Here is a 14,118-nt window from a genome sequence, read left to right on the forward strand (position 1 = left end):
GTAAGAGATATGATGTCAAAAATACGACAGTTTCTCAATGGAATTAGTTTTGTTGGCTAGAAAAGGATAAATTGCTTATTTGGAGTTATTTTTAACTAGAATCCTCTGGAATTAAAGAAGTCGGTATAACTGCCCAAATATCAGGACCTGGACCATTAAGACCCACTATACTGTGACAAGGAAGTCCTTTATCATTTCTGTGATGTATTTTTATATATCCTCTTTCCTGTCAGTTACCTTCATTTGACAGATCATTTATTGAGCATCAATTTTCAGGTACTGGGCTAGGAAGTGGGGTTATAAAGATGAATCATTTATAATTTGTGTTCTCAAAGACTTCATAGTCCAGGATGGGGCACAGATAATGTAGGCATGAACTTATAATTTTTGTTCTCTTTTATGTGTCTTTATTTTTCTGATGACAAAAATAATACATACTCATTAAATAACTTACAGTATGCTAAGTGAAAGTGATACACAGGTTAAGAGAATAGAGAGGAGAATTACCCAACCAAGCTCTGCCAGAACTTTCAGAAAAGACTTTCTGGAGGAGGTGGCAGCTTTGTCAAGACAGAAATGAGATTGGAGAAGGTGAGAGGGGAAAGGGAGGGGGTAAAGAATTATTGACAAAAGTCACAATATGAGAAAATGTATGGAAGTATGATAGGGCACAGCATACAAAGGGAACAATATGAAATCACAGTTTACTATAGCAATTGTACACGGGGAGTGGTATGACGTAAAAATGGTAAGATGGGAAATTGTGAAGACTTTGTAATGTGTCAAAAATGCAGGCTTTATTCTAGAGCTAATGAGGAACCATTGATCACTTTGGAGCAAGGGAATAATACAGTCATATGATCATTTTAGATAAATCTTTTCATACCTGTGTAAAGGGCAGAATTAAAGGAAACAGACAGCAGCAGAGAGACCAGGTAGAAAACATCAATATGGCCAGGCACAGTGGCTCACACCTGTAATCCCAACACTTTGGGAGGTTGAGGCAGGAGGATCACTTGAGCCCAGGAATTTGAAACCAGCCTAGGCAATATAATGAGACACCATCACTACCACACACACAAAAGGTATCTGGGTGTGTTGGTGAGCACCTGTAGTGGTGGTGAGCTACCTGGGAGGCTGAAGTGGGAGGACCACTTGAGCCTGGGAGGTCAAGGCTGCAGTAAGCCTTGATTGCACCACTGCAGTCCAGCTTGGGCAATAGAAGGAGACCCTGTCTCAAAAAAATAATAATAATAAAAAGGAAAAGAAAATGTCAGTTTAAATGAGAGATGTTGAGAACCCAGAGAAAAGCAGAATTAAGAAACATTCAGGGAGCAAAATTGTTAGGTTTTGTGGATGGATTGGCAAAGGAGCAGTCAAAGGTGACATATCTAGTTTCCTGGCTTTGGAGACTGGATGAATGTTGTATTTTGAGTTCAGATAGCAAATATATCTATGGAGATTGAATGAAGGAAAAAGTTTAGGAGTTGATGATGATGAGTTCTTTCTTTCTCTCTTTCTTTCTTTAGAGACAGAGTCTCACTCTGTCGCCCAGGCTGGAATGCAGTGGCACAATCTCGGCTCACTGCAAGCTCCGCCTCCCCTGTTCACTCCATTCTCCTGCCTCAGCCTTCCCAGTAGCTGGGACTACAGGCTCCTGCCACCATGCCCGGCTAACTTTTTGTATATTTTAGTAGAGATGGGGTTTCACCATGTTAGCCAGGATGGTCTTGATCTTCTGACCTCGTGATCCACCTGCCTCAGCCTCCCAAAGTGCTGGGATTACAGGCGTGAGCCACCGCGCCGGCCTTTATTTATTTATTTATTTATTTATTTATTTAGATGAAGTCTACCTCTGTCTTTCAGGCTGGAGTGCAGTGGCATGATCTCAGCTCTCTGCAACCTCCACCTCCTGGGTTCAAGTGATTCTCCTGCCTCAGCCTCCCAAGTAGCTGAGATTACAGGCATGCGCCACCACACCGGGCTAATTTTTGTATTTTAGTAGATGGGGTTTCACCATGTTAGCCAGGCTGGTCTCAAACTCCTGACCTCAAGTGTGCCGTCTGCCTTGGCCTCCTAAAGTGCTGGGATTGTAGGCAGGAGCCGCTGTGCCCGTCTGATGATAAGTTTTGTTTCTAATTATTTGAGTTCAGGATATTCTTGGGACATCTAGGTGGAGATATATGTTCAGCAGCCAGTTGCATACTGGAGATTAATGCTGGAGGAGAAATGAAAGCTGAAGTCATGAGAGTACATCAGATCATCTAGAAGAATGAATAGAGTAAGAAGATTAAATCCCAGGAACAGCAAACATTTGAAGGGCTGATGCGGAAGTAAAATCCTTAAAGAAGTTCGGATTCTCAGTAGGGAGGAAGCAATGAATAGTGTCAAATGTAACGAGAGGCCAAACAAGTTTAAAAGGACAGCATTGTTTTTTTGAGGTTTAGCATTCTGGAAGTGAAGAGCAATTATAGTAGATTCATGGTCCTAATTCTGAAAACCTGATTTTAATTATAATAGTTCTATTATGATTTTCACTTTGTTTCACTTTGAGGTTGATGGTTTTTTTCCCTCTGTTACATTATTATCTGTTTATGACAGTTTCTGTCTTCTTGTTATCCTTCTTTCTTTGATTTCTCTACATCTCACCTTTTTGGGACTTCCTGTGATGACCAGTTACTTTATAGTCACAAATTCTCAGGGGCCCTTGTTCCCCTTCTAAACCCACTAGAATCTAGAATAGTCAGGTCCCTTCCCTAAGAGGCTGGAGACCATACCCAGTGACATGGATGTTTTCTTCAAGGCTCAGAGCCATCTTTCTTCTAAAGGAAGCCTTTATAATTACTTGGATGAGAAGCTGAAGTTCAAGACATGGGTGGTGAAGCTTTGGTTTGAACAAAGCAATCTTTTTTTTTTTTTTTTTTTTTTTTTTTGAGATGGAGTCTCGCTCAGTTGCCAGGCTGGAGTGCAGTGGTGCAATCTCAGCTCAATGAAACCTCCGCCTCCTGGGTTCAAGCGATTCTCCTGCCCCAGCCTCCAGAGTAGTGGGACTACAGGCACACGTATCACCATGCCCAGCTAATTTTAGTTTTTTTTTCAGTAGAGACAGAGTTTCACCATGTTAGCCAGGCTGGTCTTGATCTCCTGACCTGGTGATCCTCCCACCTTAGCCTCCCAAAGTGCTGGGATTACAGGCGTGAGCCACCACGCCTGGCCACAAAGTGATCTTTGAACATACCGTAGTTTAGCATTTTTTACCTGTAGCCCTGTTTAACATATTATAATATATTTATTAATGTTCAGTGAGAAGAATATCTCTCTGAGAAATCTGTTTTGGATTTGACAGAAGTTTGGGTCAATTATAAGTTCATAATTATTTGGAAACACCCTCCCCACCCCGTCCGCAAAGAGAGAAAGAGAGAGATTCAAATAACGAGAGCTCAAATACCCAGAATTTTTTTTCTACATTAGGTACTCTACTATTATAAGGGCCACGTAGTGAGTCAGCCTTTGTGAACTCCAACAAGATAGCTTCCAGTGTATGTTACAAGAGAGACAGAAATTCAGTCTAGTCTCTCACACTTTCTACATTAATAGAATTATTCAGTGTTGTCATGGCTTTTATAAAAATAACTTGAAATATAGAAATCCTTTTAGAATCCTTAAGGAACAATGAACTGATATTCAGCATTCTGTTAATGAAAAACATATTCTAATTTTTAATTGGCAGTATGTTTGATAATTCTGTTAATTAGCATATTCCATTAACTGACCAACCCATCCATTCAACCAATTTGAATAACAGAAGTTAACTGTAATTTATTTTTTACTATATTTTTGTCTCCCTGGTTTAAACAAATAGAAGAATACGGACTGGTTTAAACAATTCATCAAACACACTATCTCAGGTTCCAGGGAGATACATTATTAGGGTCTTACTGACTAATTTGTTATCAGTTACATAAGCTATTGCTTCTTTTTGCTGCCAGACATCTTTGGAAGCTCCATATTAATCACTGTGAGAGCCTGCTTCCTTTTGGGTTCTGTCCTTTCCTCACCCATAGTCATTTATATTTCACATTCATTGCCTGAGAAGAAAGTAAGACCAAAAATGAAAGTATGTTCAAAAACAGTTTTGAATTTTTAGGATTTTTTCGTGTCTAAGTAGTCTAAATAAATAATTAGCCTCTCCTTGTACTTGGAAATTTCTAGATGCTTTGACAATAGCTTTGTAACATGTAGTAGTTTAGACAATGGAAGAATTAAATGTTTATCACAGTAGACTCTTACATCCATTTATGAAATTACAAGAAATTTGTCATTTACAGTTGGAGAATGTTATAGTACAGATTGCCTGCAACCATTATAATGTTCAACTGCCTTTGTAATGAAATATACAATAATAATTTCTAATTTCATAATCATGATATTAGTCTTTATCTCTTAGTCTTAATAAATTATGACCTGATTATATTTCACTTACTCTAAAAATTATATAAAATATTTTAGATAATTTGTAACCCAATAATTTTTCTACAATATTTATTGTTACAAGTTTTAAATTTTTTAATTGAACATGTACCTTTTTAGACATTCAGAAGTTTATGTTCATTTTTAAGGTTAAATTACTGTATGTATACTAATATTGGCATTTATAGAAGCTTTCCAACTGCAAGAAGGATTATGTTTGAATAATCTAGCATGTTTAAAACTATTGAATTTTTTTAAAAAAACTATGACTAGGTACAATTCCTTTCGAAACCAATTTGGCTTTGTCTGATAAAGATATGCACACCCAGAAGTTTTGCTCCTAGACGTACCTTAGTCAAATTTACGCACTTGTACATCAAAATACATGTATTACTTTTGTCCTAATTAATAGTGTTTATAACAGTCAAAACACTGAAGCAACTCAAATGTCCACTACTAAAATGTCCAATATTAGAATTGTAATTAGACAGTAAGATGGCTAAATTATGATATTCTTAGAGTATGAATGCCATACAGCAATGGAAATGAATGTTTCACACTACATTGATTCATATAAATGAATCATATAAACATAAGATTTAGTTTAAAAAAAGCAAAGTACAACATTACATTTGGTATGATTCCATTCTGCATAAAGTTCAATAACAAGCAAAACTAAATTCTATTTTTAGGATGCTAGATAGATGGAAAAAACTATAAAGAACACCAATGAAGTGGTAACTGTTAAAGTTACGAAAGTGATTTCTCTAGGGAGAAACTGGGAATCATGACTGAAAAGAGACAGGGATTTTCAGGGCTATCGACAGTATTCTCTTTCTTAACCTAGATAGTGGTTACATGCATCCTTTGTAAGTTTTTTTAGTTTATAATCAAGTATTAATTAAAGTGTACATTTAACTTTTATACATTTTTCTGTTTGTTGTATTTCAGAGTAAAATAAAATTAAAAATTATAAATTTTAAAATATTTCTCACCAAAAAGACAGGTTTGGGATAAGATTTAACCAATGGAAGTAAATAAGAAGCAGAACTACCTATTACAGATTCCAGAGTCCAAGGTGACAAGATAAAGGCTTCATTTTGAAGTCTCTATCGTATATATATATATTTATAACATATATATATGTTAAGTATTTGTGGCATTATATTATTCAAGACTCTTTCTGCTGCATGTGACAGAATTGACTCATATAACTGGGAAATCTAGGGTCAGAGATGATTTTTCACATGATTGGACTGCAGAGTTCATATTTTGTCATCAAGAATCTGTATCTCTGCTTTTCTTGAATTTTATTGTCTTAATTATGTTAGTAGACAAAAAAGTGGGGCAAAATGACTGTTGGCTGGCCTGGATTCATATGATCAGGACAACTTCATTTAAAAGGGACTATTTTTTGCTACCTCGTTTAAAAGGGACTGTCTTTTGCTATAGCTCCTGCATTTATTTAAAGTGACACACAACAACACCACCAACAACTCCCTCTGTTTTTCTTCCTGTTGGACTTTGGCCTGGTTGGGTAGGGCATTCTAATTGTCACAGCCCAGGTCTTTAGTCAAGATCAGTGAACACCATCAGCCCCTCCTAAACAATGGAATGGTCTTCCTATAGGAAGAGGGGTTTTGATATCAGATGATGGGACAGTAGGATGCTAAACAGGTACATCACATCATCTTGAGTGATATACTTACTACAAGATTTTTAGTGTATTTAAAAAGTAAGTCCTATACTTCCAAATCACTTTTCCTTCTAGTTCAAGAGAAAGAAGCATTCATTTTCCTATTCCAAGTTAATTCTTATGAAGTGCTTTTGAGCCATTTTCCAACATCTCCCTGTGTCCTAATACACACAAACATTTTACCTATTTAAAAAATATTTAACTACTATCTTATGTCTCTCTGCCTTTTTGAAGCTGAACTCTTTCAAAGGATACTGAAAAGTACAACTGTGAATTTGGATTGTGGTTTAATACCTTTCAAGTTATATGGCTTTGGGCAAGTTTCTTCAACTGAGCTTTAGTTTCTTGTTATCATCCTTCTAGGCTTATTATGAGTATTGAGTACCTTATGATGAGTGTAAAGAGTCTTACATATTTTGTACCTAGCACAAAAATAATGCAGTTATGAGATTAAAACCAGGCTTTACTTAATAGACCTATAGTTACTGGCAAGTCATTTAACTTCTTTGAACTTCACTAGTATTATATTTATAATGTAAAAATAATGCCTACCTTGCAGGATTTTTGTGAATATCAAATGGGGTCATGAATGAATATGTCTAATAATGGTAACTGTTGCTGTTATTTTTTAAATTAATAATTATTTGCTTTTACATTAATAATTATTTGCCCAGCCAGTTTTCTTTTGGTCCCTGGTCCAACTAATTTGAATGGATTACACATAGGAGACTAATATATCATACAGTGATAGAATTTTATGGCTTATACATTGACATTCAATTTAAATGTATTAAGCTATTTGATTTAAAGGGAGAATAGACAAATGACTAGAAGTTTTCATTCTATTTGCTTTTTAATATGTAAACAAAAAATGAAGACATGATAAATAACCTTGAGTTTGAAGGTTCACCAGCATTCATCTTTTTTTTTTTTTTTTTTTTTGAGACATGGTCTCGCTCTATGACCCAGGCTGGAGTACAGTGGCAAGATGTTGGCTCACTGTAGCCTCTTCTCCTGGGTTCAAGGAATTTTTCTGCTTCAGCCTGCCGAGTAGCTGGGATTACAGGCACATGCCACCATGCCTGGCTAATTTTTGTATTTTTAGTAGAGATGATGTTTCACCATGTGGGCCAGCCTGGTCTCGAACTCCTGACCTCAAGTGATCACACACAGCCTCCCAAAGTGCTGGGACTGCAGGCATGAGCCACCATGCCGGGCCCATTCATTTTTGTTGAAGAAAATTGGGAATATCAGTAGAGTGTTCATCTCCTTCATAGAGAAAGGTAGATCATTCCAAAAAGATGTGAAACACATCATGTGAAGCAGGAAATTTAGTTTTACACTAACTATGGGGATTACTTTAAATTATCAAAATGTAGTTTTACTTCAAAAAATACCTTGATGTAAATGATTTCAGGTGCATCTTAAAGACTTGAAATACTTAGCACTGCTTTGTTTTATAGTTTCTTGTGGAGAGAAGTAGTGAGGGCTTGGAGATTGTCTCCATTCAGTGATCATCACAATTAGTACAGATGGCAGATCATTATCAACATTTATTACCAAACGGTGATTACATCACTCAATTCTCAATTATGCATGTGAGGCAGGTATTTTTGTTTTGTATTTCATAAAGCCATGGATGATATTTTGATATCTTAAATTATAATATTTTAATGTTTATCCCCTCTTTTCCTTAATGAAATAACACTGGTGATAAAGTTTCTGTACACAGCAAAAATGGACATTCAGTCTTAGAGACCCACCATATTCCAACACCTTAATATTTTATTTAAAGATGTGTTGTTCAATTATGTATTTTTATTGTAACTTTAGACCAATTGCATAAATTGGATAAATTGGATTATCTTATTCTATGAAGCATTAATCATTGTAATAAGTTAAATAGTCATTTTAGTGCTTTTTTTTTAAGTAGGTAGGTACCACCGTACTACCTCGTGGAGGAATTGCACGTACTAAGGTGAAGTTTGACAGTACAACCTAGCATTGCATCTCACATCTTGGTTGATTTTCTTTATGCCGATTGAGGGATAAGCTGAATAGTCAACACAAAATATAGATAATATAAAAGCTTTTTATATTTAGCATTTGGAATAGAATTACAGGAAATCAAGTGCTAATATAGTTGCATTTGGCTGCCCCTTGCTTCTAGCCTTCACACCAATACTTTCCTTCTACATTTTTGTTGGCAGTTACCAACAGATTGCCCTACTTGTGTGGTATGACTTCATTAAAAAGGCAGATATATGCAGAATTTTGCTAGTTTATCTTAAAGAAATATTTAACACTTGATATTTATTGAAGGTTCTATGCCAAGAGTTGTGGAGCGGGGGGTACAACATTAAAGTGGTGGTTAGAAGTGCACAAATAACTGTAATGGTATACAACAAAGAGTTTTGGGATTCAGAGAAAGCAGGGGTCTCCTCACGTTAAAGAGAAATAACAAAGTGCCACTTATGATCAGTTTTAAAAGATCAGTAATATTTTAAAGGCAGAGCTGTGCTATAGAGTATATCCCAACCCAGTTATTCCCTCTGAGCTTGTATACAAAACCATGTGGAGAACCTTGAAACTGCAGTTTGTCTGAGTCATAAAAAGCATGGGGAGGAGGAGGGGGACATTCTTCCTAGTGATACACAAGAAATGCTGTCACTTATATGAAAAGCAGCATATTTTTGCTGCTTCATGTTATCAACTTAAATTCCAGCAAATCATTTTAACAGAAAGATCTTAGAGTAAAAATTTTACCTATGCATCTGTTTATTCTTTTGAGTATCCTTGTATAAAGCACTTTGGTAATTGTCAATGTATAAGACAGAGTCTCTGTCTTTAAGGAAGGAAAGATAAGAGAAATTTACATTTAGTGATTGCCAACAATATGTATATGTTGTCTCTTAAATATATTTCACTTAATACTTGTAGCATCCCTATGACATAGGTATTATTATTTCTAATTTTTTAGAAGTAAAAAAAATCTTAGGCATTAAAAGAGGTTGCCTGCTCAAAATCACCCAGCGAGTAATTAAAACCTTACCTGAAATTACATCTATTGGTATAATTCCAAAATCATGTATTTCTCCTGCAGCGCCTTTTGTATATTCATGATCTGTTTCTGGGCAAAGTTTTGAGAGGAATGATTGAATATAGGTTCTTGTAGATTATACCTTTATACAAAAGAAAAGTGATAGATTCTTAGTAAACCAAAATATAGTTGTCCCTCAGTATTGGGAACTAATGAGGAATTGGTAGCAGCTGCGTGACCTTACTAAAAATAAAAATCAGATCCGCTGCTGTAAACTCTTCACTGATTTCCCACTGCACTTAGAATACATTCCTAACTCTTTATCATGGTCATATCAGTGCTGTGCTACAGCCAGGTCATACCAGCTTTTGACGGCCAATTGTTAAATTTTCAGGAATTCTGTGAACCAGTTGTTAAGCACAGCCATTGTTACAAATTAAATGATAAAAACTTACAGTTAAATAACTCATGTTAAAAACAAAAGTAATAAGTACTCAAAATTCATCACTTTCTGGTTATGTTACCACTTTTTACTGTTGTCTGTGCTCTTGAACTATTTACATTGTTTTATCTGTATGATAAAAATGGTATATGATGGTATGCTGCAGCTCTACTGTTATGCATCACTTTTCTTTTTTTTTGCAAATGATATTTTATTTTATGCAATTTGTTTATTTACTCATTCATTCAATTGCTTATTTAATCATTCCTTAAAATATATAAGCTGAGAGCTGACTATATGGATGGCACCAGGCAAATACAATAGATACAGTAGTGAAAAAAATAAACATGGTGTCTTTTGTTATGGAGTCCAAAGCTCAGTGGAGCAGTGAGTGATACTAATCAAACAACTGCACAAATGCATCTATAAGTAAATTATTTTAAAAGTACAGTTAAAGGAAACAAGTAGGTGCTATTAAGTACATGATATAATATCAGGGTTCAAGAAAATTTTCAGAGCAAATGGCAAATGAGATACATATATTCAGTCTGCCCTTCATGTCTGCAGGTTCAACCAATCGTGGATGAAAAATATTTGGAAACATTAATAACAGTGTAACAAGTAAAAATATAAATAAAAATACATTGTAATGACGATTTACATAGCATTTACATTGTATTAAGTATTATAAAGAGATGATTTAAAGTAGATTACTAAAATCATCTACTTCAGTAATGTTATATGCAAATATAACATATATGGTTACCTGCAAATACTGTACTATGCCATTTTTTTTCTTTTTTTATTTTTTATTTATTATTATTATACTTTAAGTTTTAGGGTACATGTGCACAATGTGCAGGTTAGTTACATATGTATACATGTGCCATGCTGGTGCGCTGCACCCACTAACTCGTCATCTAGCATTAGGTATATCTCCCAATGCTAACCCTCCCCCCTCCCCCCAACCCACAACAGTCCCCAGAGTGTGATGTTCCCCTTCCTGTGTCCATGTGTTCTCATTGTTCAGTTCCCACCTATGAGGGAGAATATGCGGTGTTTGGTTTTTTGTTCTTGCGATAGTTTACTGAGAATGATGATTTCCAATTTCATCCATGTCCCTACAAAGGACATGAACTCATCATTTTTTATGGCTGCATAGTATTCCATGGTGTACATGTGCCACATTTTCTTAATCCAGTCTATCATTGTTGGACATTTGGGTTGGTTCCAAGTCTTTGCTATTGTGAATAATGCCGCAATAAACATACGTGTGTATGTGTCTTTATAGCAGCATGATTTATAGTCCTTTGGGTATATACCGAGTAATGGGATGGCTGGGTCAAATGGTATTTCTAGTTCTAGATCCCTGAGGAATCGCCACACTGACTTCCACAATGGTTGAACTAGTTTACAGTCCCACCGACAGTGTAAAAGTGTTCCTATTTCTCCACATCCTCTCCAGCACCTGTTGTTTCCTGACTTTTTAATGATTGCCATTCTAACTGGTGTGAGATGGTATCTCATTGTGGTTTTGATTTGCATTTCTCTGATGGCCAGTGATGGTGAGCATTTTTTCATGTGTTTTTTGGCTGCATAAATGTCTTCTTTTGAGAAGTGTCTCTTCATATCCTTCACCCACTTTTTGATGGGGTTGTTTGTTTTTTCTTGTAAATTTGTTTGAGTTCATTGTAGATTCTGGATATTAGCCCTTTGTCAGATGAGTAGGTTGCGAAAATTTTCTCCCATTTTGTAGGTTTATGCATCACTTTTCAACTCCAGTCCATTTATTTTCTAATATTCTACTCTGATCTCTTCCCCTACCTCCTCTTTACGCTCAATAATTCATGGATTTGCCCTTTTGAGGCTATTTTCTAGATCTTGCAGGCATGCCTAATGTCTTTTTATTCTTTTTGTTGTTGTTGTTTCTCCTCTGACTATGTATTTTCATATAGCCTGTCTTCAAGCTCACTGATTCTTCTGCTTGATCATCTACTGTTGAGAGACTGATACATTTTTAAGTTTGTCAGTTGAATTTTTTAGCTTCAGAATTTCTGCTTAATTATTTTTTATTATTTCAGTCTTTTTGTTAACTTTATCTGATAGGATTCTGAATTTTTTCTCTGTATTGTCTTGAAGTCATTGAGCTTCCTCAAAGTAGCTATTCTGAATTCTCTTAAATGTCACATATCTCTCACTCCAGGATTGGTCCCTGGTACCTTGTTTAGTTCATTTGATGAGGTCATGTTTTCCTGGGTATTCTTGATGCTTGTGGATGTTTATTGATATCTGGGCATTGAAAAGTTAAGTATTTATTCCAGTCTTCATAGTCTGAACTTATTTTTACCCGTCCTTCTTGAGAAGGCTTTCCAAAGGGAATTAAGTGTTGTGATCTAAGTCTTTAGTCACTGAAGCCATATCTGCTTTAGGGGATGCCCCAAGCCAAATAATGCTGCAATTTTTGCAGACTCGCAGAGATATAGCCTTGGTGGGCTTGGGTAAGATCTGAGAGAATTCCTAAAATCTCTTTTTCTCTTCTCTCACTTTCCCCTGAATAAATAGTGTTTTTTTCTCCTCATGCTGGGCTTCCTGGAGTTGAGGAGCAGGGTGACACAAGCACTAGCCACCACAGCTGGGACTGGCTACTATGGCTGCAACTGCACTTGGTCACACCTGAAGCCAGCATGGTACCTGACGACTACTGCCTGGCTGCTGCTGGTGTTTATTCAAGGCCCCAGGGTCTTTCCATTCAGGGTAGCAGGTTTCCTTCTGGCCCAGGATGGATCTAGAAATGCTTTTCAGGAGCTAGGGTCTGGACTCAGGGGATTCAGGACTCTGCTTCATGTTACTGTGGCTGAGCCGGTACTCAAGTTGCAGGACAAAGTCCTCTTTACTGTTTCCTCTCTTTTCCACAAGCAGAAAAGGAGTATCTCCCAAGCTGCCCTGCCTGGAGTTGGGGAAGGGGTGTAAGTATAGCCACTCTTACTTTTTTGTTGTTGTTTCTATTTGATCCCTTGGCTACCCCAGCTGGTGTTTCACTGGATTGTATGTACCCCAAGTCCACTGGCTTCAAGCCCAGCACAGCACCAGGACTTGCCGGAAGATTGTAATACTCGTGGCCTAGACTGCTTTTCAAATTTGTTCAGGACACCAGGGCACTTTAGTCTACCAGGGGGCTTCCCTTCTGTCTGGGGCCAGTCTGAATCCTTCCTTGTTGTGTGCCTGCTAAATTCTGCCCTGTGTTGTGTTCTGCTGTGACAGGGCAGCACTGAGTACCAGTGCAAAGTCCCACAATCCCTGCTCTCTCCCTTTCCCAAGTGCATGGATTCTTTCTCTACACAGTGCTGGGGGGATAGGATAGGTGTGGTGTAGACGATGTAAGACTGTTTTTTCTATCCTCTTCCATGCCTTCTTCCTTGATATCATGTTAAAACCAGGTACTGTGATTGCTCACCTGATTTTTTGTTTTTATGAAGGTGTTTCTTGCGTGGATAGTTGTTCAATTTGGTGTTCTTGAGGGAGGATGATTGCTGAAGGATGATTGCTATTTGGCCATCTAGCTCTGCCTCCTCCAAAATTGTCTCTGATGTTTACCTTTACTTCCAACACCCAACATTCCCTAGTCTAGGACTTCTGCATCCTTATGAAACTCAAGTAGAGTTGCCTGTTTACTCTTCCCCTAGGGAGGCACTATACCTTTATCTCTGTATCCCTAAAGCCTAGAACAGGGCCTGCACCTCATCTGTTCAGTGACTATATGTATGAATGCCAAAAGGCACATAAACCTTTTATTTGCCCTAATGATTTTACCACATTCAAAGAAATAAAAACATATTCCCTTTATAAGACATCAGATGGTAAGACATTTACTTAGAAAGAGAGAGACTTAAGTGAATTAGTATCTCTAGGACTGGCTACAGTTCAGTTATCTTTTTTTTTTCTCTCTCTCTTTTGAGATAGAATCTCAAAACTCCAGGCTGGAGTGCAGTGGTGCGATCTCAGCTCACTGCAACCTCCACCTCCCAGGTCAAGCAGTTCTCCTGCCTCAGCTTCCCCAGTATCTAGGATTACATGTACACACCAACATGCCCAGCTATTTTGTATTTTTAGTAGAGACGGGGTTTCGTCATGTTGGCCAGGCTAGTCTCGAACTCCTGACCTCAGGTAATCCACCCACCTTGGCATCCCAAAGTGCTGGGATTACAGGCGTGAGCCACCGCGCCCGGCCTGGCTACAGTTATCTTACATGCAGCTATTTTGTATAGCCATTTGAGTAGAGATCTGAGAGGAAGATGAAGAGGCTTACACCTTGGTAAGAGAAGTATTCTTGGCCATATATGTTCAAGTTAGTGTCACTTGAGGCTTTGATGACAAAGGAGTAAAGAATACAGTGTAATTGTATCCTAAATAACCAAACGGAAGCTGAAAAATAGTTGCTAACTTGAATAGCTGAGGTCAGTGGCCAGAAAT

The 14,118-nt window shown here is 37.1% G+C and overlaps 1 protein-coding gene across 10 annotated transcripts in view, besides 1 other annotated feature; it reads left to right on the forward strand.

Annotated features, from left to right (window-relative positions):
• Window positions 1-14,118, forward strand: part of RABGAP1L (RAB GTPase activating protein 1 like) — an 835,789-nt gene that overhangs the window by 524,223 nt on the left and 297,448 nt on the right. The window lies entirely within an intron of this gene.
• Window positions 5,849-6,143: an enhancer, noted in NCBI's record as "tiled region #10542; HepG2 Activating DNase matched - State 5:Enh". NCBI's record gives its function as "activates a minimal TATA promoter and a strong SV40 promoter by Sharpr-MPRA in HepG2 cells {active_cell/tissue: HepG2}" and the evidence as "EXISTENCE:reporter gene assay evidence [ECO:0000049][PMID:27701403]".

Source organism: Homo sapiens, chromosome 1 (genome assembly GCF_000001405.40).
Source record: "Homo sapiens chromosome 1, GRCh38.p14 Primary Assembly".
Lineage (NCBI taxonomy): Eukaryota > Metazoa > Chordata > Mammalia > Primates > Hominidae > Homo > Homo sapiens.